General features: G+C 53.9%; 3 annotated features.

Annotated features, from left to right (window-relative positions):
- Positions 7,814-8,315: an enhancer, noted in NCBI's record as "H3K4me1 hESC enhancer chr1:31136257-31136758 (GRCh37/hg19 assembly coordinates)". NCBI's record gives its function as "activates a minimal SCP1, AML or CMV promoter by ChIP-STARR-seq in naive H9 embryonic stem cells {active_cell/tissue: H9 hESC(naive)}" and the evidence as "EXISTENCE:reporter gene assay evidence [ECO:0000049][PMID:30033119]".
- Positions 8,761-9,692: an enhancer, noted in NCBI's record as "H3K4me1 hESC enhancer chr1:31134880-31135811 (GRCh37/hg19 assembly coordinates)". NCBI's record gives its function as "activates a minimal SCP1, AML or CMV promoter by ChIP-STARR-seq in primed H9 embryonic stem cells {active_cell/tissue: H9 hESC(primed)}" and the evidence as "EXISTENCE:reporter gene assay evidence [ECO:0000049][PMID:30033119]".
- Positions 21,472-22,162: an enhancer, noted in NCBI's record as "H3K27ac-H3K4me1 hESC enhancer chr1:31122410-31123100 (GRCh37/hg19 assembly coordinates)". NCBI's record gives its function as "activates a minimal SCP1, AML or CMV promoter by ChIP-STARR-seq in naive H9 embryonic stem cells {active_cell/tissue: H9 hESC(naive)}" and the evidence as "EXISTENCE:reporter gene assay evidence [ECO:0000049][PMID:30033119]".

The raw sequence follows: 22,404 nt of genomic DNA, 5'->3' as shown, positions 1-22,404 counted from the left end.
ACTGCAAGCTCCGCCTCCCGGGTTCACGCCATTCTCCTGCCTCAGCTGGGACTATAGGCGCCTGCCACCACGCCCGGCTATTTTTTGTTATCTTTAGTAGAGATAGGGTTTCACCGTGTTAGTCAGGATGGTCTCGATCTCCTGATCTCGTGATCTGCCTGCCTCGGCCTCCCAAAGTGCTGGGATTACAGGCGTGAGCCACTGCGCCCGGCCCAAGAGAGATTTATTTTAAGGACTGGATCACACAACTGTGGAGGCTTGGCAAGTCCAAACTCTAATGGGTGGGCCGCCAGGCTGGAAACTCAGGGAAGAGTTGCTATCTGGGTCCGCTAGCAGAATTCTTTCTTGCTCAGGGGAGCAAGTCATTCTTTATTCTACTCGGGCTTCCGACTGATGGGATGAGGCCCACCCACATTATGGAGGGCAATCTGCTTTACCAGAAGTCCACCAATGTAAATGTTAGTCTCATCTAAAAAGTGCCCTCAGAAACACCCAGAACAATGTTTGACCAAATATCTGGGCACCATGGCCCAGCCAAGGTGATACATAAACTTAACTACCGTGGTGCTTGAGGGCATCAGCTTTGGTTAAAACCCCTGAGCCCGGTGTGGTCTACTCTCTTCCACTTTTTGGAGAAAGCATGTGGAAAGCATGTGAAAAGCATTGTTCCTTCCCCCCCGTGCTGGGGCTGAGTCCTGGAGGGGATGGAAGAGCCCCCCATGTAGCAGCTACAAATTTCAGTTCAGAAGTCCATGAGATGTGGCTTGTTGTCTTTTCTCATGATCCTGACACATCTGGATCCTATCCCAGGGTGTGTCTCACTCCAGGGCCCATTCACCATCTTGGCATCTGTAGAAGCATCCCCTGCCCTCCCCTCGGCCACGGAGTCATGCAGGGAGCTGGGCTTGATCTGCCTGCAGGCCTGCTTCGAGTCAGCCTCATTGGGCTTCTTCTATGCCATACCAGTTGCAGGAAACACTGTGTGGCCACCTGCAGCCACAGCCCCTGGATACCTCAGCATCCCTTTCTTCCTGGGACTCCAGGAGGGAAAGCTGCTCCACGCCCCTCTGCTCTCAGATCCTTTCCTTCCCAGGCATAACTCCAGGAGGCAGGCGGGAAGGAAGCCCCCAGGATAGGAGTCCATTCTGTATTTAACAGGTATTGATTGAGTGCCTCCCTTGGGGAAAATAAAACCAAAAGGTCCCTGCCCTTACATAGCATAGAGTCTAGTGATGGGCAGGCCGATTGTAAATACCATAGAAAGTAAAACTGCAGAGTATCTTGGCAGAGGATGACTGTGATGAAACATTGTGATACAGGATGAGGGGCCAGGAATTGTTACCAGGGCAGTCCTGGAGAAACATAGCAGAGGGAACAAAACACGTGAAAGTGCTCATTATTTTCTTAAGCAGTAGATGGCTGAAAAAGCTCGATATTTTCTCTTTAACAGTTTCTTTTAGTCTCTTTAGCTCTAGCTAGCTTACAAGGACTGCATATGCCCGGGAACTTCAGGACCCTTTGCTAATTATCAGAGGATGAGAAGGCCTGCTGGAAACTGGAACAAACCAGAACTAGTGACTCCTTTAGATCATCAACATATCATTATAATACTAAATCCCCACCCATAGAAGTGCCACCATTTTCTGAACATGTGTGTTATGAAGAGACATGTTTATGACTTGTGCCTGCAAATCTAAAGTTATTCCTTGCACTTACTTGCAACTGCCCCTCTCCCAATATCTAACTCCTTAAAGTTCCCCAGCTTCCCACAGCTTGGCTGGGAGGAGGTGTCTTGGGAGCAAGAGTTCACTCCTCCTCTGGCCAGTGAATAAATCCTGCTTGCCTTTTTTTTTTTTTTTCAACATGGAGTTTCGCTCTTGTCGCCCAGGCTGGAGTGCAGTGGTGCCATCTTGGTCCACTGCAATCTTGGTCTCCCAGGTTCAAGCGATTCTCCTGCTTCAGCCTCCTAAGTAGCTGGGATTACAGATGTGTGCCACCACGACTGGCTAATTTTGTATTTTTAATAGAGACGGGGTTTCACCATGTTGGTCAGGCTGGTCTCGAACGCCTGACCTCAAGTGATCTACCTGCCTCAGCATCCCAAAGTGTTGGGGTTACAGGCGTGAGCCACCACGCCTGGCCAATCCTGCTTGCCTTTTAAACCATTGGGTGTTCTTTCTCTGTAACTGACACAAAGTAGGGAAATAACTCAGTTTACCAGTGACAGAACTGCTGGCTCAAGGGGGACAGAAGTGTAATTGTAAAGACGGCGGCAGGGAAGGCATCCTTGAATAGGTGATGTTTGACCAAAGGCTGGAAGTGGGTAAAGGAGAAAGCTGTGCAGAAGTCTAGGAAAAGGCTACTTCCTGCAGAGGGAACAGCTGGTGCCGAGGGCCTGCAGCAGGAGTGCATCTGGTGTGTTCAAGGCCCATGAAGGGTGGTGAGACTGTAGGGCAATGAGAGGGTGGAGAGTTCCTGCTGGAATGAGAGGCTAAGAGGCAAAGGAGGCCAGAGCGTGGGGAGACCTCCTACGCTCCTGTAAGCACTTAGCTTTGACTGAGTGAGGACAATCACCTGAGGCTCTGAGGAGGGCTGACACGATCTGACTTAGGTCATCAGGGGATGCTCTGGCTGCTGTGAGGGCAGATTATAGGGGCACAAAGGTGGAGGCAGGGAGACCAGAGAGGAGGCCACAGCAGTAACCTGGGGGAGGATGATGGGGGCTTGGTAGGCCGTGTGGCAGCGGTGGGGACAGCATTTGAACTCTTGGCGAGCACCTCCCCAGCCCTCCATGTCCTCAATCCCCCAACCAGGGGCATCTTTCTCCTGGCCCATGGACAGCCCTGCTCAGAATCCTTGTGTGTCCTTTCACATCTATTGCCAACACCCTGGGGGCCTAGATTTTTGCTACTTAAAAGGCAGAGGAGGTTCACTTTATACTCAGTTTCCTGCTAAAAGTCCTGGCTTGGAGTCAGCAGGGCCTGAGTGACCTAACTGTGGCCTGAAACATGGTTGAGGGATGACTGGAAATCATAGGAGAAAACATTGGTTGCTATTTCAAAGGCATTTTCCTTGCAGAAATGAAGGGATTCATGGTAAAGACCTCAGTGGCCAGAGAAAGAAGCATCTGAGACAGGTTCTTTTTTTTTTTTTTTTTTGAGACAGGTTCTCATCCTGTCGCCCAGTGCAGTGGCTGGAGTGCAGTGGTGCAATCTTGGCTCATTGCAGTCTCCACCTCCCAGGTTCAAGGGAGTCTCATGCCTCAGTCTCCTGAGTAGCCGGGATTACAGGTGTGTGCCACCATGCCCAGCTAATTTTTGTATTTTTGGTAGAGATGGGGTTTCACCATGTTGGCCAGGCTGGTCTCAAACTCCTGGCTGCAAGTGATCTGCCCGCCTTGGCCTCCCAAAGTGCTGGATTACAGGCCTGATCCACCGTGAGACAGGTTTTTAGACCTCACCAGAGGAACTTCCTTCCTCACCAGAGCGTCTGAGTCTGCAGCCAAGCACGCAGAGTGGGTGGAGCCTGCTCATAAAGGCAGAGGGCTTGTTAGGTGTGTCCAAGGAAAGACTGTCATTCTCTCCAGCAGTGGCTGGAGACCAAGGGTTCCTTCATCTTCCGCTCCCCTACTCCCTTCTATCCTTCCATTCGATGAAGCGCAGTGGCTATAAACACAGACCCTGGAACTTGGCAGCTTGGATTCACATCCTGTCCTACAGGATCCTGGAGGGGCTAAAAGCAGAGAGGGCAGAAGGGAGAGAGAAGATGCAGACCTTGGGCTCCAGCTCCTGCGGGGGTCCCTACCTCCAGTCAGGCCCGAGCTGGAGCAGAGACATTGTGGCTTAACCAGACTGGACCGGTCAATGCTGACAGGTGGACAGGATTAACACAGGGTTGCTGGTGTGTCTGCAGGGTCCACAGAGCCCAAAGACCCATCTGCGATGTCCTCGAGGGACGAGGTGGGCATTAGGCAGAGCACACTGGCAGGCGGAGGTTGTAGTGGGGGGTTTATATCCTTTCTGTTTGTCTCTTGGCCAAGTTCAACCCATTCAGTAGATTGGTTACATATATATTTTATGTTTTTAATAAGGCATGAACTCATTAAAAGATCCCGTATGCTTCTCCTGCCAAAATTTAGGCATAAATATGTTTACCACAGGGCTATTTAAAATAGCAAAAAAAAAAAATAAGAAAAGAAAAAAAGAACAACCTAAAACTGTGGACCACCCAGAATACTCCACAGGCAATGAAAACATTGTTTACATTCATGCTAGCTGGGAAATGCTTAATGCTATAATACGAGTTTTTTTTTTTTTTTAAAAACCCTAGGGTGTTAAATTATACATACAGATCAATAATAACTATGCCTGAAAAACTGATTTTAAAATACTGAAAGAAATGCAACCAAATGTTAAAAATACACCTTTGGGTGTTGAGAATTCACATTAAAAAACAAAACAATACAAAACACTTTTTTTTGTTACCAGAGTGTGCTAATTTAATTTGAAAATGAATACTGTTATTGTTACTGTTTTTCTGACTAATAGAAGCTTTCAAACATTTCAGAAATGCCCGGTGTAGAAAATAAACATCGCCCATCTCCTCTGACCTCCCGACACCCACCATTCAAGAGTTGGCAGTTTGGTTTTCAGGCCCCTGGAGTCTTTTCTTTTTATAAGAATGTGATCACATTTTATGCACAGTTACTCAATTTTCTTTTTTTCCCTTCTAATTGGTCTTGGAAATGTCTCTCTGACAGCATGTATAGATCTGCCTCATTAAAAAAACCAACTGCATTTCTTTCCTTTGTGTGGATGCCCCATGTTTCACCAGCAAGTCCCCTATTGGTTTGCAGTTTCTCCCTGTTTTTACAAACAGTGCTCCTAGGAACATTCTTGTATGTACATTTCCTGGCATTTAGTGTATATTTCTGTAAGGTAAATTCCTAGATATGGGCTTGCTGGGTCAAAAGATATATATATTTTAACTTGAATCACTATTACTCGATTGTTTTCCAAAATATTGTACCAATTTATACTCCCACCAGCTCTGTCTGCGGGTGCCTGGGCATTGTTTTTATGATGGAGATAAAAATAATAAAATAAAGTTTGTATCAGTTTTTAAATTTTTCAAAGGTTGTCCCTAAGCCTCCCTACTCCCATTCTCCTGGGCTCTGTTCCCCCCACCTTCTCCGAGCTGGGGGACTGGCTGCTTAGCTTCCCCATCCCTGGGGCTTGTATCCAGGGTCTGAAGTTCTGGGCAGTTCAGGCCCTGGGTGCATTCCTCTTCATCCTCCACAGGTGGGCCCTGGCTGCTGTTTTTAGACTATCAGTTCTGGAGTGCAGGTGTTTCCCTGTCTCTCGCCCTGAGGGATTGGCTAGGGAGGCAGCCTGAGTGTCCCTGGCATCTTGAGGGGCTTGGGAGTGGAGCTGGAGTTTCTGTTCAAGCTCTGACACTGAATGGGAATCAAGGTGGGCAGGGGAAGGTGCCCCGTTTCCAATTGCAGGGCTTCTGGGTGAGCAGGTTAGCCCAGCCCAGAGACTTTAAGTGACTCCTCCAAAGTCACACAGGAGGTGTGTTGAATTGACAATTCAAGCCCACTTGCAGAAAAGAAATGTCAGATCTCCAAGATGAGCACTCAATACACAGATGGGGAAACTGAGACATGTGGCTTTGGGTCACACAATGAGAAAGTGGCAGAGGCTGGCATAGATCTGGGCCTCCTGATCCATGGCCAATTGCTTATTCTAAGCAGAGAGATGGGATTTACTGGGGACAGAAGGGAAAGAGGGTCTGGGGTACTGCAGGCAGAGAGGATGGTCCAGGCTCAAGGGGTTTTCAGACAGTTGAATGACAGGATTTACAGGAAGTGCTCCTCACACTGTCTGGCCTGGTTGATGTGCAACACACAGTACCTGCTGTGCCTCCCAGCTTTAATCTTGCGAACTGTCTGCTGCTCAAAGCTCTGATTATGGACGGTCAGCGCTTAAAGACTTTCATTTCTAACCTCTTTGCAGATGAGAAACCCGAGGCTCAGTGAGATCAGTAACTTGCCTAGTGTAGCACAGCAAGTGAGCGGCAGGGCTGGGATTGAATGCAGGTCCATGAGATTCCAGGGGTCCACTACCTGTCTGCAAATCTTCCTGTTCCCCCATTAGGGGCTGCTGCCCTGCCTCAGGCCCATCTGCAGTGGTTCACTATGCTCCATCTGTGGGTTGTGGCTCTCTGTGGCCCTGCTCTTGTGGCTGGAACTGCAGGTGTGGGTGGCTGCCAGGCCCAGCTCTGTGCCTGCACTTCTCACAGCTGCTGTGTGTCCACTAGCCTGATCTGGGAAGGCCCAGAGGCAGGTTCTGAGCCAGACAGGGCCAGATGGCTCCTCTGGAATCTCGATCCCTTTCCCAGGCCATGTGGAAGCGGGAGAGGGTGCTCATGTATGCATTTTCCCCTGAACTCCACCTCCTTGCTGTCTCTGCACCTCCCTTTGCCTAGGCCCCTGTGAGCCTCCTGAGTTCCCGACTTGCCTTTGGGTTCTGTGTTTCTGGAGTGTCAGCTCTCTGAGGACAGGGACTTTTGCTTGCCTTGTTCCCCAGAGCCTAGAACAGAACCCAGAATATAGTAGGAACTTAATAAATACTCATTAAACGAATGAATGAATGTGTGCCCAAAGTTTCACTCATCATCGCTGTTACCTGTGCCCCCATTAACTGCCAGAGCTGTGACCCTTCTCCCCAAGATGACCTTGAACGGTGCGTAACCAAGTGTGCCAGGAACTGGCTTGACCTGCTTCCCATGAGACCGAGGCTCCAGACCTACCTCTCCCTCTAATCTGCTGGGTGTCCCTGGGCAGGTCTGTTCTCCCTCCCTGGGCCTCAGTTTCTCCGTCTGTATACGGAGGGGATTATATGCAGTAGTTTCCAAGGTTACCCTGTCTCCCCCCAGCAATGTCTTGCCGTCTCTTTGATTCTCTGGCTCTCAGCTGCTTAACTTGACAATCGCAACCCAGTGGTCTCATCTCGCCCTGCAGAGGGAGGCTACTATGGAAGTTGCTTCCCGGCGTTGAGAAGCCTGGCACGTCCGCCATTCGTGTCTAATTACTCTGGCAACTGTTTACTGCCTCTTTAATTCCCTGGGCAAACACCCCGTTACTGGGAGTAATTTACTGGCAATGGCTTGGGCCGCGAAGCGTGAGCGTGCTCACTCAGCTGGGCCCTCTGAGTGGGGCGATGGGACCCGAGGGCAGAGCGCCATCTTCCCTGGCGTCCTGAGCCAGGGGGCTCTCAGGTTTGTCCCTGTCTCCTGGAACCACCCTCTTACCTCTGTGGGGTTTCAGACTGCAGAATGGGCAGGGCCTCCTGGTTGTTAGAGCACAGACTCTCTGGAGCCTGATGGATCTGGGCTTGGGTCCCAGTTCTGCTGCTTACTCATTGTGTGACCTCCAGCAAGTTCCTTCTGCTCTGGGAGCCTCAGTTTCCTCATCTGTGAAATGGGGGTGTCTGTCTGCCCAGTTGCCCTCCCTCTTCCTGCACCCTCCCCCACTCCCTTTCCACATGGCAGTGGTGGAGACTCCCATGGTCTTACCTCGTCCTGCTGCCTCCCCTGACCACAATTTCTTGGTGCATAAGGATGGGCACCTCACCAGAGCAGGACCAGGCAGGGCCCCTGTGCCTTTGGGCACAGTGACGGACATCTGACTTGTCACTGATGCCGCAGTGAGAAAGTCGATCCCTCTGTGGCGGCTGAGGATGTGACTTGCAACAATTTGTTTTCAGCCTGTGGTAGGAACCGATGCAGAGGCGAGGAGCCCAGCCCTGGGGGTCTCTGATTCTGCCTCCTGCTTCCTGGAGGCCCTGCTGCTTCCCACTGGGAATGCCCCCTTTGGTATCAGCCACGGGAGCTGGGTTTCGGCATCTTCAACCAAACTAATCCTGAAAATCCAGCCCTGACAGCTGTGCTTCCCCACAGGCTGTGTGAGACAGCGCAGCTGGATGGGACCTACCCCGGGCTTGGGGACGGCAGAGGAGGTGTGGCAGGGGAGGGCTCCCATTACCCCACAATCGATCCTTGGTACAAAGTCCCATTAGTCCGGGTGCCACTTAAGTCCAGAGCAAACACCATCCTCTGGATCTGATCAAGACTTTCACTTCCCTCAATCCAGACACTAAATCTTTACTAATAAAGCCCAGCAGAGACTAAGGCTCAGAGGGAAAGGCCTCAGTTTGGGGAAGAGGGAGGGGCTAATCCCAAGATGTTGACAGGACAATGTACTACCCTGCCAAGGGGCCTGGCAGTGGGGTCAGGAGCCTTGGACGGCACAGAGGTGGGCCCATAGATCTGGGTTAAGATCTGATCTTAACATGCCATATTGAGCAAGTTACTCAGTCCCCCTCTGCCTTCGTGTTCCTACCTCCCAGATGGAATAATAGCGGCACCTACCTTGTGTGGATCAAAGGAGGAAAGGAGGGGAAATTGACTTGTTAAGGCTAGTGATGGCCATGTGTGAGGGGCTGTTGTTGGCTTTATGAAGACAGTGTTTTGGGGCCAAGTTTATTCCCAGGAGAGGCTAGGGGTGCACCAGGGGCAAGTGGCTTTTGCATCCATTTGATTACTCACTTGCTCACTCATTCATTCACTTATTCATTTGTTCACAATATGCATGGAGCTGCTGCCCAGGAGTCAAGGTGCCAGTTTGGGCAAACCTGGCCACAGGCTCCTATTGTCCCTGAGCTCAGGGACAGGCAGGAAGGGAACTCTGACAGAGGGAACAGAGGGCTGTGCCGTGCATGGAGGTTGGAGCTGATTGCACTGGGAAGCTCTGTAGGGGGTGGAGTGGAACTGGGGAGGGATGGGGAATCTGGTGGATCAGGGAAGAATTCCACTGCTGGTATAGAGACCCAGTTGACAGAAGTGTGAGTGGGTTCCACGCAGAGTGAGTGCCCGTGATCTCCACCTCCCTTGCCTGGCACCCGTGCCACCCTCCGGAAGCTTCAGGGAGAGAACCCTGGGAATGAGCTCCACTTCATGCTTCCTCCTCACCTGCAGGAGCCTCTGCCTAAGCTCTCTAGCTTTGCAAAACAATGAACTTGGAGGTAAATTCCTGGGCAACTTCAGAACCGTGGTGTTCTCTGGAGCATGTGCTTGACAAATGCTTCTGGCTGAGTGAGACCTGCTTGAGCTCAGTTCTGGGCCCAGGGTGGCTTCTCTGTGCTCCTGAGGCCCTCCTCTCCTTGCAGGCATGCCTGGAGTTCTCCTGGGCCCAGTTGGCAGGAGTGTCCACTACAGCTCACTGGTGAGGGCGAGGTGGGCTGGAACAGCAACCACTCGTCTGGTTTGGAGTTTATCCTTCAGTTCCTGCTGGGCCTGTCCCTGGCAGGTCCATGCTGCTCCCCTGACCCCGGTTGAAATCTGAGTCTGGGGAGATGGAGACTCAAGGACGGCGTCCCCAGGGCGCCTTGCCCAGCCCAGCACGAGCCCAGAAGCAGCCTTTGATTTGTGAACTGCTGGATTTAGGGTGGATTTGGCAACTGGGTTTCCAGTTGGTTTCCAGGGGGAGATGGATTTACAGCTGACACAGGTTTGCAGCCTTGCTGGGATCTGCAGCAGGCAGTGGGCAGGAAGTTATTGACTTGACCCCCGACCCTGGGGAGGGAAAGATAGTGAGGTTAAGAAAAATCCATCTTTGTGGGGTTTATCCTGGGGCCCTTGAAGTGGTAACTTCTACTTTTGATGCAGTTACATCTCTCTGCAAAGACCATGGGAAGAGGACCCAGAGAATGAGATTCTTCTCATGTCTTCCCTCCTGGCCTCTTGGAGGATTGAAGTCTGTGAAAGTTCCTGGAGACTCCAGGAATCAGAACTGCCCTGCTTGCCCTCCTGCAGGCCCCAGCTGGCCCCTCTGTCCCTGCAGTGCCCTCCCCACAGTGCGGTCATCGAGCTCCCTGCAGGCTTCGAGAACAAGGCAGGGAGGAGGGAACTACCTTCACTGTGGGTTTGGGAACAGACGGCCCTGAGTTTGAATTCTGTGGGATTCTTCCACTCACTAGCTGTGGGGCCTTGGGGGAGTTCCATGCCCAGCATGGCCTCAGTTTCCTTGCCTGTGCAATGGGGGGTGAGATTTCCCTCCAAGGATGCTGTGGGATTCAATGAGATGTGTCCGGAACTGCATAGCACTTGGCACGGGCAGGTGGGACGTGGGGCCTGGGCAAAGACAGATCCGAGTTAGAGCCGACTCTGATGGCCATTATCTGTGTGATCCTGGACACGCGTCTCAGCCTCCGGAGCCTCAGTTTGCCCCTCTGTGAAGTGGGAATAGAGTTGTTGTCATGACAAAAGGGAAAACGCAGTTCAGGTGCTCAGTGCCATGATGGGCGTGTGGTCAGTCATCTTTGGACACTTTTGCTACCCCCTTCTCCTGTGCACTGCCTGGGCAGCAGATGCTGGCCTGGCCCTGAGCCCATGCAGACAAGAGTGAGGGACTCCAGGTTCCTGTCCCCATCTGTCCCCTTCCAAAGCGAAGGAGATACAGCAACTCCTGGGACTGCACCATGGAAAGTGGGTCAAAGCACTGGCTTCTGAATCCTGGCCCAGCAATGTCAACAGCTGCAAGGACTCAAGGAGGCTACTTTTCCTCTCTGAGCCTTGGTTTCCTCATCCTTGGTAAAATGGAAAGAATGATAAAGATAAAAACATTACTACTCTACGTACTATAGTAAAAACATTACTACTATACCTATATCGTAGGTGCTTTACATAAACCAAATCATTTAACCCTTGCAACAAGCCCACAATGCCAGTATTATTATCATCTCCCCATTTTATAGCTGAGGAAATGAGGCTCAAAGAGGGAAATACCTTGCTAAAGTTGATATATCTCAGCAATGGCAGAGACAGGATTTGAGCCCAGGGAGTCTGGCTCCAGAGCTTATGTTCTCACCTGCCTCTTTGGGTCACTCTGAGGGTCCCCTAGGAAGAAGGGCATGAGAGGGCTCTGCAAGGTTCCAAGCTCCGTGCCAATGTCAGAGATGGTCATTTCCACGGGAGAGAGAATGTGAACCTGCCAGTGATGCCCGTTGTTCCCATAAACTGTTTAGTGTTACAACAACAGTGAGCTACGCTTCCTGAGCATTTCCTGGGTGCCAGACACCCTGCACAGCAATTTCTGCACATCATCTCACTTCCCTGTTGTCCCATCAGGCAGGAATCATGACCGCCGCTTTACAGATGAGGGAACTGAGCCTCAGACAGGCAAAGGAGCTTGGCCGGGGTCACACAGAAGCCGGGATGTGAACCCAGGTCTCTGACTCCAGAATCCTGGCTGCGACTCCGTCAATGCGCTGCCCCCACTGTTATTAAACATTAGCACAAGGACAAGCTGCCCTGAATGTCTGGTTCAGGAAAAATAGGCTGAGATCAGAGCCAGGGTTGATGGCTGGGTGGTCTGGGGGACTCCTTAAGGTATGCAGTGTGTTTGGGGCTAAGCAGACTGTATATTAGGGGTGCAGGTTGTGGATGAAGAGGGAATGACAACATCAGGTCCAGAGACAGTGTTAGGCGTGCTGAGTTCTGTATTTCTCATTAGAGGCCGAGCAGGGCCAGACCATGAGTCCAGGCATGGGGTTCTCTCCTGGGGACACTGATGGGGCTCTCAGGAGTCACATATATGGCTAGAAAATATGGCCAGACAGGCCACAGGTTCTGATGTTTCCCAGGTAGCATTCATTATCACTTGAGCTGGCTTCTGTCTCTCTTGTTAGGAGGCTGCGTGTTTCCTCATATTTCAATGTCACAGTTTCGTCAACTGGATGGCTGAGAGGCTGTGCGTAGGTCATGTGACTTAAACGTTTGCGTCCTTTCGCCCTCCACATTCAGATGTGGAAGCCCTAACCCCTCACACGATGATATTTGGAGGGGGGGCTTTGGGAGGTGATTAGGGTTAGATGAAGTCAGGAGAGTGGAGCCTCTTTGACGGGATTCATGCTCCTGTAAGGTGAGACACTGGAGTGCTCTCTCTCTCTCTCTCCCCTGTGAGGACACAGTGAGAAGCCTCCATGGGCACCCTAAGGAGAGCTTTCACCAGCACCCCACCAGGCTGGCACCGTGATATTGGACTTTGAGTTTCCAGAACTTTGAGAATAAATTTCTGTTGCTTAAGCCTCCCAGTCTGTGGGGTGTTGTTATGGCAGCCCGAGCAGGCTCAGGCAGGGAAGGCATTGAGACGTTCCTCCTCTGCCGTTTACTCAGTACTATCGACTTGTCCTTCTTCATTATTCAGCAAGTAATTCTTTCCATGAGCTCCCATCGATTTCCAGATTGAAATATTTCTTGATGAGCTTTGTAATGAGAATCTGTTTCAAACGAACTGGTGTCTGGTTAGAGCATTTCACCTTGGGCCAGTTTCATTGTGGAAACAGCATCAATTCCTCTCTAGGGACTTCTGGGTTCCCTCCTCCTGCCTCTTACTGGGGACATCTGTGCACCCTCTTCCTGGGGTCCTCCTGGGGACATCTGTGCCCCCTCTTCCTCCTCCTCACTGGAGATGGACATCTTTGCCTCCTCCTCCTTGTCCTCCCTGGGGACATCTGTGCCTCTTCTCCTGGGGTCCTCATTTCTTCTGATCCTCCCTGGGGACGGCTGTGCCCCCTCCCCCTAGTCCTCACTGGGGACATCTTTGCTTTTCCTCCTGGTCCTCACTAGGGACCTCTGTGCCCCCTCCTCCTGGGGTCATCATTGAGGACATTTCAGCTGTCGCGTAAGAAGCTTGCACTCAGAGCCAGGCAAGTGGCAGCTGTTCCACAAACACCAGCTCCTCACTGTCCTCGAGGGGACAGCCCTGCCGGCTGGGTGTTAGTTCAGGTGCATCATACAGGGCCGGTCAGTGTCGCCCTACATGGAGTGTCCCCATTTCCCTCCTGCAGTGTCATTGTCAGCAAGCATTCATTGAGCACCAACCGTATGCCAGGCCCTGTGCTTAGCCCTGGGCTCCCAGAAGGTTCTTCCGAAATGAGGATTGGTCACATCCTTTTCCTCCTGACCCTTCAGTGGCTTCTCCTTCCCTCCAGGATCAAGTGCAGACCCCCCACTGCTGCTCCCAGGCCTGTGTGGCCCAGCCCTTGCCCTCCCTCCCCTCCCTGCTGTCTCTCCAGAGGACACCCAAGCGCTTTCCTGCCACAGGGCCTTTGCCCATGCAGTTCCCTCCGCCTGCAATGCCTTTTCCTGCTCTCCTCCACTTGGCCAGTCCTTTTGATCTTCATCAGCTTAAATGCGACCTCTCCCCCCACTGCCCCACAGACTTGGCTCCCCTCACCCCAGCTTCTTGGCATTCCTCTGGTTTCTCTCAGCACCTTCTGTAATTCTTTCCTTGGGGGTTTACTGGAATCACTGTTGCTCTCACTAGTCCATGAGCTCCAGGCGGGCAGGGGCCTCATGGGTCCTGTTCCTGGGTATTTCCAGGGCCCAGCACACGCCTGGCACAGGGTTGGTGTGCGGCTATGTTCCTTGTTGAGTGGCTGAGTAAATACAGAGGGATGGGGCACCCAGTGGCTCTCTGGGGCAAGCTGCATGTTGTCATGGAACACGCCTGTCTGGCCCCAGGTCTGGGTCAGTCAGAGGCTGGAGGTGGGGCCTGGGAGCCACCCTGATGCTGGCAGGACCACCACACCTGTGACTGGTGGCGTCGAGGGACCCGTCCCACAGGGACCAGCCTCCGTGGGGGCCTGGGGGCTGGGGAGTCGGCCTCCCCACCCCCTCGCTCCTCACAGTGGTGCTCACCTTCTCGGGAGACCTGGCTCCGTGCAGGGCATGGGCTGGGCCTGGGCTGTGCTGCAGTGACTAACGGCTCTGCGCCCTTAGCAGGAGCAGGCTCCCTGCCTCTGCCTGGCAGGCTCAGGGCGGGGCTCGGGGCTCTGCTCACTGCAGTCTCTCACCTTTCACCTGGGTGGGGCTTCTGTTGTCACACAGCAAAAGGAAGAAGGCATCAACCCTGCCCTGGTCCTTTATGCCCCTCCTGGAGGTGACACATGCCACCGCCTCTCACAGCACAGCGGCCAGAGCCAGTCACGTGACCACATCTGCCTTCAGAGGGGGTGGGAGGAGTGACCCCACCACATGCCAGGAATGAGGGAGCTGGTGATGTCGGGTGCAGCACTCAGGATGCCCACCTTTGTCCCCGGCTGGGTCAAGAGCTAGAGGGCAATGGCCCCCATGTCTGCAGCCGCATCGTGCCTGTTCGGGGCTGAGTGCAGAGCAGGAGAAAGCAATGCCCCATGCAGTCCAAATGGACAAGGGCTGCCCCTGCCCCATGCCAGGGGCTGTGGGCCCAGAAGTGACAAAGACAGCCCGGGAGTGGGGAAGTGACACCTGCAGGAGTCACCGCCTAGTGACCTGAGGGCAAAGCTTCATCCCTGTCCTCCTGCCCGGGGCAGTGAGTGTGGGTGGTCATACCCTGACTGCGGGTCAGGGTCCCCGGGGCCAGCCCCTCCCCCAGCCTTACTCGCCCTCAGCTGCCCACACTGTCACTCCAGGTGAGACTGAGCTACATCCCTTGCCTGAGTCTTCCCTGCCCCCACTCTTGCCTCTGAGCCTATGCCACTGCTGTTCCCTCTGCCCGTGCACAGCAGGGACCTGGGAGGACTCGGGAACCAGGCCCCCTCGGTCTGAAACCTGGCCTGGTGGGTGACCGGATGATGAGCAGTTCCTAACCTCTCTGTGCCTCAGTCTCCTCATCTGTAAACTGGGGGTGGTGATAGTGTCTGCCTCACTCTCACGGGGGCTACTGTGAGGATTTAATACAAGTAAACGCTTAGAACACAGCCCCAGCACGTGGCAGGTGACAGCAGTGTGTGACGGTCAGTCCCCACCCTCCACGTCTGCCTAACATCTCACCCTCGGGGCTCAGCATAGACGCCCCTCCCCGGAAGGCATCTGGCATCTCTGCAACCCCAGTGCCCAGCACAGGGCCTGGCACATGGAGGCTCCAGCTGCCCCCAAAGGCCACTGAGCCTGATGCCCCCTTCCAGGGACATTTGCCTCACGGCCAGCACCACAGGAAACCAAATGCCCGAGGTGAGTGGACGCCAAGCCTCGGTCCCTGCATGGCCCTTTGGGGACGTCTGGAGAAGGCCAGGACTCTCCTGCACTCGGAGTTGCCCCTCTCGTGTGTTGGGGGGTGCAGCTCATCACACCTGCTTATGTCACATGTTTGGGCCATTTCTCCTCCTGTGGTTGGCACAGCACGAGTGTCTGGAGCAGCTATTTTGGGCAACACCAGAAACATTTTGACATGGCCTACGAAATAGACCCTTAGGTTTCCTGCAGTGCCAGGGAACTCGGTGGCGTTTGAGACAGACGCCCTCGCTGCATCTCCTCAAAGTCTCAGCCGGTGCTAAGCCGGGAGGGGCGGGGACATGGGGGTCGTCAGGCATGTGACTTGGCAATGAGACGTGGGGCTTGTGTATTTTGACACGAGGCTGCATCTAACTGGCCACTTCAGATCTCTGGCTTTGCAAATGTCAGTAGGGTACGTTTAACTACTTCAGTCACTTAAGATCTTTGGACCTCAGTTAAGAGCTTTGGAGACTAAACATAGATGTAAATATCTGCTCAGCTGCCCATGAGCTGAAGGAATGGTTGCTGATGTCTGCCCTGTTGTGGGCCAGGTACTGAGCTGGGCTTGGGGACACAGGGGTGGGCAGGACAAAGCCCCTACCCTCAAGGAACTCACAGTCTGGTGTGGACCAGGGGTGACAGAGGAGAGAGGGGCCCCTGACCAAACCTGGCCAGTGAGGAAGGCTTTCTAGAATTCAGGGCCTCAGCATGCTGCTGCACAGGCTGTGTACTGCACAACTCACACATGGACATGCTGTGAAGGGCGCCCCCTAGAATGTGCAGGCAGCAGCCATCCCAGAGCACATGCTAGAGCTGTGTTTTGAAGGATAAAGAACTGGTGCAGAATTGTAACACCACCACCACCACCGCCACCACCACCATCACTACCACTGTCACCACCACCATCACCACCATCACCACCACCATCACCACCACCACCACCACCGTCACCACCACCATCACCACCACCACCACCACCATCACCACCACCGTCACCACCACCACCGTCACCACCACCACCACCACCACCGTCACCACCACCACCACCACTGTCACCACCACCGTCACCACCACCACCACCACCACCGTCACCACCACCACCACCACCACCACCACCACCACCATCACCACCGTCACCACCACCACCACCACCACCGTCACCACCGTCACCACCACCACAGTCACCACTGTCACCACCACCACCACCACCACCATCACCACCACCACCACCACCACCATCACCACCACCACCACCACAGTCACCACTGTCACCACCACCACCACCACCACCACCATCACCACCACCACCACCACCACCACCACCACCACCACCACCATCACCACCACCACCACCACCACCATCACCACCACCATCACCACCACCACTACCACAAGCATCACTACCACCACCACCACCATCACCACCACCACTTACTGAGGGCTTCTGCTGTGCCAGGCACTGCCTGTGCCATCTCACTTCATCCTGAGGCAGATTTCCCATTTCACCAATGAGGACTCTGGAGTCAGAGAGGTTGAACACAGTAGGGAGCTGCAGAATTTGAACCTGGCTCTGTGTAACTCCAGAGTCAAGCTCTGAAGCCCTTGGTGGGAGAACACCCTGGATAAACACCTAGTGCAAAGGTTAGGAGAGGTGCGCCTTTGGGAAACCGCTGAGTTTGCCTGCTAGCTCGTGACCAGCTGGGCTTGACCCAGGCACCCCATCTCCCAGTCTAGTGCCCCTTTGATGCACTGGGTGAATGGTGCTGTGGGAGAGTCTGGGTTCAAGTTGAGGACTGAGTCCAAATCCCATGTCTGTGACTCATTGTCTCTTCAGTTGTAAGTCAATTGTTTCCCCTTGCTGAGCCTTGGTTTCCCCAGCTAGAAAGCAGGCAGATGTTTACCGTGCCCATTTCTCCCGAGTGGCAGGAGCCACTAAGATAGTAGACGTGGAGATTCCGACTAAAATAGAACAAATTGCGCTGTGCTAATTCTTGCAGGTGCTGCACTTCCACCCTCTCTGGGCGACAATGCCACTCTCCTCTGCCCCAGCCTCCGTGACTATGTTCCCCTTCCTTGCTGACGACGAGGGTTCTAGCTCCTTCCATGTGGTGGTGGGTGGGGAGGAGGCCTTGTCCCCTTCTCTGAAAGCGCTGATGATCAGAGTCTGGGATGAAGGTGTAGGAGGAGCCCTGGCTTCACTCTGAACCTACCTGTGACCTCGGGTGAGTCATCTCCTGTCTCCACATGCCTTGCCTTCCTGGAAACCCCACATGTCCAGGGAGGTGAGATGAGGGTCCATGGTCTCCAGCCTCTAGTGATATCTGAGAGGAAACACTTGCTGGGTGTGTGGGGCATGGCACTGAGCTCCTTGCCTACCTGTTTGTTCTCAACCACCTCATCAGGCAGGATCTGACATTGTCCCCATTTCTACAGAAAAGAACACTGAGACTCTGAGTCAGAAAGTGACCTGCCCAGGTAAGCGCAGCTGGAAGTGGAGAAGCTGGATTTGGGCCTGGGGCTTTGGAATTCAGTTGGATGCCATCTCTGGGGGGCCTTTCCCTCTTGGGTGGTCTGGACGAGGAGACTGGGGCTACCACCTGGGCTACGTGACCTCAGGACCCCACAACCCTCAGAGGCTGCTCCTCTTTGCCTACAGGCCTGAGCATACAGGCTGGGGAGGGGAGGCTGTCTCTCATGCATGATGAGTTTTCATGAAAAGTCCATCCATGCCCAAGGCTCAGTCATCTTCTTCCTTCACCTCCTCCCCCACACCCATCAGATGCAGGGCTCGGGGCTCTGGCAGGCCTATAGTTTGAGCCACTGTGGTTAGAGCTCTGAGGTCAGATGGGGGCAGGGGTGGGGTAAAGTTCCCATTTACACCCCCATCCGGATGGGGCCAGGGAGTGACTTGGGGTGAGGTAGAGGGGGGCGGGGAACCCATGGGGCACCTCGAGTGCAGATGGGACTCCTCCAGGAGTGTGGGGCTTAGTCCCTGCCCTATTCTGTTTCAGTGGATGTCTGGCTTAGGTGAGACCAGAAAGGCTGCACTGAGCTCTCAAGAATGTGGGTCTCATACCTACGAGCTGCAGACCGTCGGTCAGGTCACTTAGCCTCACTGGGCCTCAGCTTTCTCAACTGTGCTGTGGGGGTAATCATGTGCCTCCCTTCTGGTCTCTGTGAAGATTTACTGGCTTGATGCATGTAAAATGCGGGGCCCATTGAGGGCCACTTGGGCAACCCAGCTCAGTGAGCATCAGTGATGATTGCCACAGCCTTGGAAGTTCTGACCTGTCCTGACACTCAACTGGTGTCTTGGCTGCTGTAGGATCTGATGATGGGGTGGTTTAAAAGTAATACTCAGAAAAATAATGGTGCTATTGTCACTACTGATAGTGTTGGGTTCAGAAAACAGACCTGGTCAGAACTGCCTGGATTCGAATTTTGACCCCAGAACTTACTGGGTGGGACATGGGGCAAGTTACTAACCTCCCAAAGCCTCAGTTTCTCCCATCTAACACGAGGGCATAATCTCTAACTCAGAGATGAGCCAGGAAAAGTGTTCAGCTCCCACCTGGCACACAGCGAGTGCTCAATCAGTGTGGGTTACTGTTGGCCATTTGTGGAGGACTTTCAATATAAGCTCTGCAGGAGGCTTTTGTGTTTTGTCCAGTGCTGTTGCGAGTGCCTAGAAGGGAGCCTAGCACATAGTAGATGCTCAGTATATATTTGCTGAATGAATGCATGGAAGGATGTCAATGTGTTTCACTGAGGCCTGGCACAGTGAGTGCTCAGCCAGGCTTGGGCCCAGATTCTGCCCAGGGCTGTGCCTGGCTCACTCTATTTCTTCAGACCCTGCTTGGAGCATCTTTTTCTGCTCTTGACAGATGAGAAAGCTTCACCACTGGACTGGCGCCAGCCTTAAAGAGTGTCTGAGCTGCTACCTGCTGTGCACTATCACTGAGCCACGGGTCTTTCTCTCTCTTACACACACACACACACACACACTCTCTCTCTCTCTCTCTCACACACACGCACACACACTCACACACGGTAGCTGGGTGTTAAGCAGTGGTCCCTTCCCAGCTTCTCTGCCTGGTGTACCTTGCATGGTTTCCCTGCCTGGAGGGCAGGTGTAATCAGTGGCCAGGAACCTGGAGGGTCCCTAAACACCCTCCCACCAAGATCCACAAACCTCTGTCTGCAAATGGACAATGCTGCCCTGAGGGACCAGGTGCCTGCCCCTCCCCCACATCAGCCAATTAGGCTGCAGTGAGAGGGGATTTCCAGGGCCTTTCCTGAGAGGGCTTTTGGTGGAGATGGGCAGAGAGCCCAGGGGCTGGACTTCAAGGGCAAAGGGAATGTACTGGAAGGGAGGGAGGAGTGGCTAAGATCCACCTATGCCCACCCTCTGCTGCCTCAACACAACTGCTGTGATCTGTTAGGTGCCCTTTGGTCTCCATTCATCAATGGGCTCTTCGCCCCCAGCGGATGTCTCTGGGGTCTCCCTTTATCCTGGGCTGGGGATCACTGTGACCCTCTTCTTGTTCTTCCCTCTCCCACATGAACTCAGAGGGTATCTGGCTCAGGTTTGTCAACTCAGGGAGATTTTGCTGCCCAGGGGACAGCTGGCAAAGCCTGGAGACATTTTCAGTTGTCACAGCTGGAGATGAGCAGGCAGAGGAGGTGGGCAGGCAGTGAGGAGGTGATCAGGCAGGGAGGAGGTGATCAGGCAGGGAGGAGGTGGGCAGGCAGGGAGGAGGTGATCAGGCAGGGAGGAGGTGATCAGGCAGGGAGGAGGTGGGCAGGCAGGGAGGAGGTGATCAGGCAGGGAGGAGGTGGGCAGGTAAGGAGGAGGTAGGAGGGAGTGGGCAGGCAGGGAGGAGGTGGGCAGGCAGGGAGGAGGTGGGCAGGCAGGGAGGAGGTGATCAGGCAGGGAGGAGGTGAGCAGGCAGGGAGGAGGTGGGCGGGTAAGGAGGAGGTAGGAGGAGGTGGGCAGGCAGGGAGAAGGTGGGCGGGTAAGGAGGAGGTAGGAGGGAGTGGGCAGGCAGGGAGGAGGTGATCAGGCAGGGAGGAGGTGAGCAGGCAGGGAGAAGGTGGGCGGGTAAGGAGGAGGTAGGAGGGAGTGGGCAGGCAGGGAGGAGGTGGGCGGGTAAGGAGGAGGTAGGAGGGAGTGGGCAGGCAGGGAGGAGGTGGGCGGGTAAGGAGGAGGTAGGAGGAAGTGGGCAGGCAGGGAGGAGGTGGGCAGGCAGGGAGGAGAAAAGCCGGCAGGGAGGAGGTGGTGGGTCCTTCTCTAAGGGTAGAAGCCAGAGCTGCTGCTGAGCATCCCATAGCACACAGGGTGGTCCTCCATGAGAAAGAATTATCCAGCCCCCAGAAGTCCATAATGCTGCTGTGGAGAAGTCCCACAGGACATATGGAAAATGAGAGTCAGAGGGGGCAGTGATCCGCTCCAAGTCGCACAGCTTGTTGGCGGCAGGTCCAAGACTATAACCTGGGTTTCCTGACTCTGCTGATCTGTCTGTGGGGCCGGCGTCAGTGCTGTGGGTCTGGGTGCCAAGTGGCCTCTTTGTCTCCAGCCTGGTTTTTGTTTCTTTCTAAATCATTTCGATTTCGGGAACATTTTTATCTGTGTTTTCATTCTCCCTTGTTTTTCATTGTGCTTCTCTCTGGGTAATCCTAGGCTTGCAGGCGGCTAAGTACGACGTGTACATTTCAATGAAATGCAATAAAATATAATTGAACATATTTCTTTCATGTCTGAGCGACAGATTAATCTCCCAGACACATCTCTGTTTCCTCTTTGCTCCCTCCACGTTTTGTTGGCGTGTTTCCTCCCCTTCCCAACATTGCTGGGATTTGAATGGTTCCCTGGCACCTGGTCACTGGAGATAGACACACAGTCCTGACTCTATAGCCCCACATCTGTGATTGATAAATGATCCTCCTGGGGCAGAGGAGAAGGAACTGCCCGCGGGAATGCCAGCCCCAGGTGGGGAGAGAAGAGGGGTCTCTGCTGCTGATGGGGAGCAGTGGGGGCCCATCAGTAGGACTGGGAAGGTCTCCTGTGATGCAAGGACCCTCCCGGGAAGACACACTCTTGGTGCAGCCATTGTGGGTGCCCAGTGAGGGCAAGATCAGCAGGGACGCCCTGGACTGACTTCACATGACTGTGAAGTGCAGGCTCAGCTCAGGGGAAGAGCGAGAGGCATCAGATGGAGCCAGGGCCACAGCCTCAGGGGCGACGTGAGAAACATGGAGGAGGCCCATCAGGTGGAGAAGGTTCATGGCAAGGTTCATGGAGAAGGTTCATAGCAAGGACCTGTGGGTTCTTGTCAGCTGTGGGGAGCAGTTTCACTTCCATCCTGGGAGCAATGGGGAGCTCATAAAGGGTCTAAGCAAGGGAGGCATGAGCAGATAACTGCTCTCTCTGGCTGCTGATCAGGAAGGGACTGTGGGGCAGGAGCTGGAGCAGGAGGCTGAAAAGAAGCTGCAAAAGGGTCCAGATGGAGGTGATGGGGAAGGAAAAGGCTGGGAGTTGGAGAGAAAGGATGGATTGCAGCAATCCTGCTGCCTCCCTGAACATTTATTTTATTTATTTTCTATGTCCCATAATTGCTAAAAGTGAAAGAAGGCACAATCATTCTGTAGACTAGTCAGAGGTGAGCAGGCTGGCAGAACGTGATCAGGCAAGTAGGAGGAAGGCAGGCAGGGAGAAGGTGGGAGCAGGTGAACGGGCAGGGAGGAGGAAGGTAGACAGGGAGGAGGTGAGCAGGCAGGGAGGAGGTGAGCAGGCAGGGAGGAGCTGGGCAGGCAGAGAGGAGGTGGGCAGGTAAGGAGGAGGTAGGAGGAAGTGGGCAGACAGGGAGGAGGTGAGCAGGCAGGGAGGAGAAAAGCAGGCAGGGAGGAGGTGGGCCTGCTAATAGGAAATGAGCAAGCTCTAGGAGATACACAGGCTCTTGTAGGCTGTGAGCCAGGTGTAGGAATGTGGGTAGGCTGATAGGAGGTGAGCCAGCTGGTAGAAGGTGTGTAGCATGATTGTAAGTGAGCTGTCTGGCAGGAAATGGGCAGGGTGGCCGGGGAGTCCTGGACCTCACGGCCGTCCAATGAAAGGATCCTGTGGAGTGGTTGTGCTGGTCATGCCAGTGGGGTGGAAACCTTCCCATGTCGCTTGGGGGCCTTGTGAGTGTCTGTGTGTTCCAGGATCAGCTGTGTCTGCTGGGCCCCATCACGGCTCCTGTGGGAGCAGTTGTTTGAACTGGGATATGCTGCGGGGCTCAGGCAGGGGCTTTGTCAGCTCCAGGTGCC

The sequence above is a fragment of the Homo sapiens genome, chromosome 1, assembly GCF_000001405.40.
Source record: "Homo sapiens chromosome 1, GRCh38.p14 Primary Assembly".
NCBI lineage: Eukaryota > Metazoa > Chordata > Mammalia > Primates > Hominidae > Homo > Homo sapiens.
The sequence above is the reverse complement of the archived record's forward strand: the minus strand, read 5'-3'. Positions and strand labels throughout refer to the sequence as shown.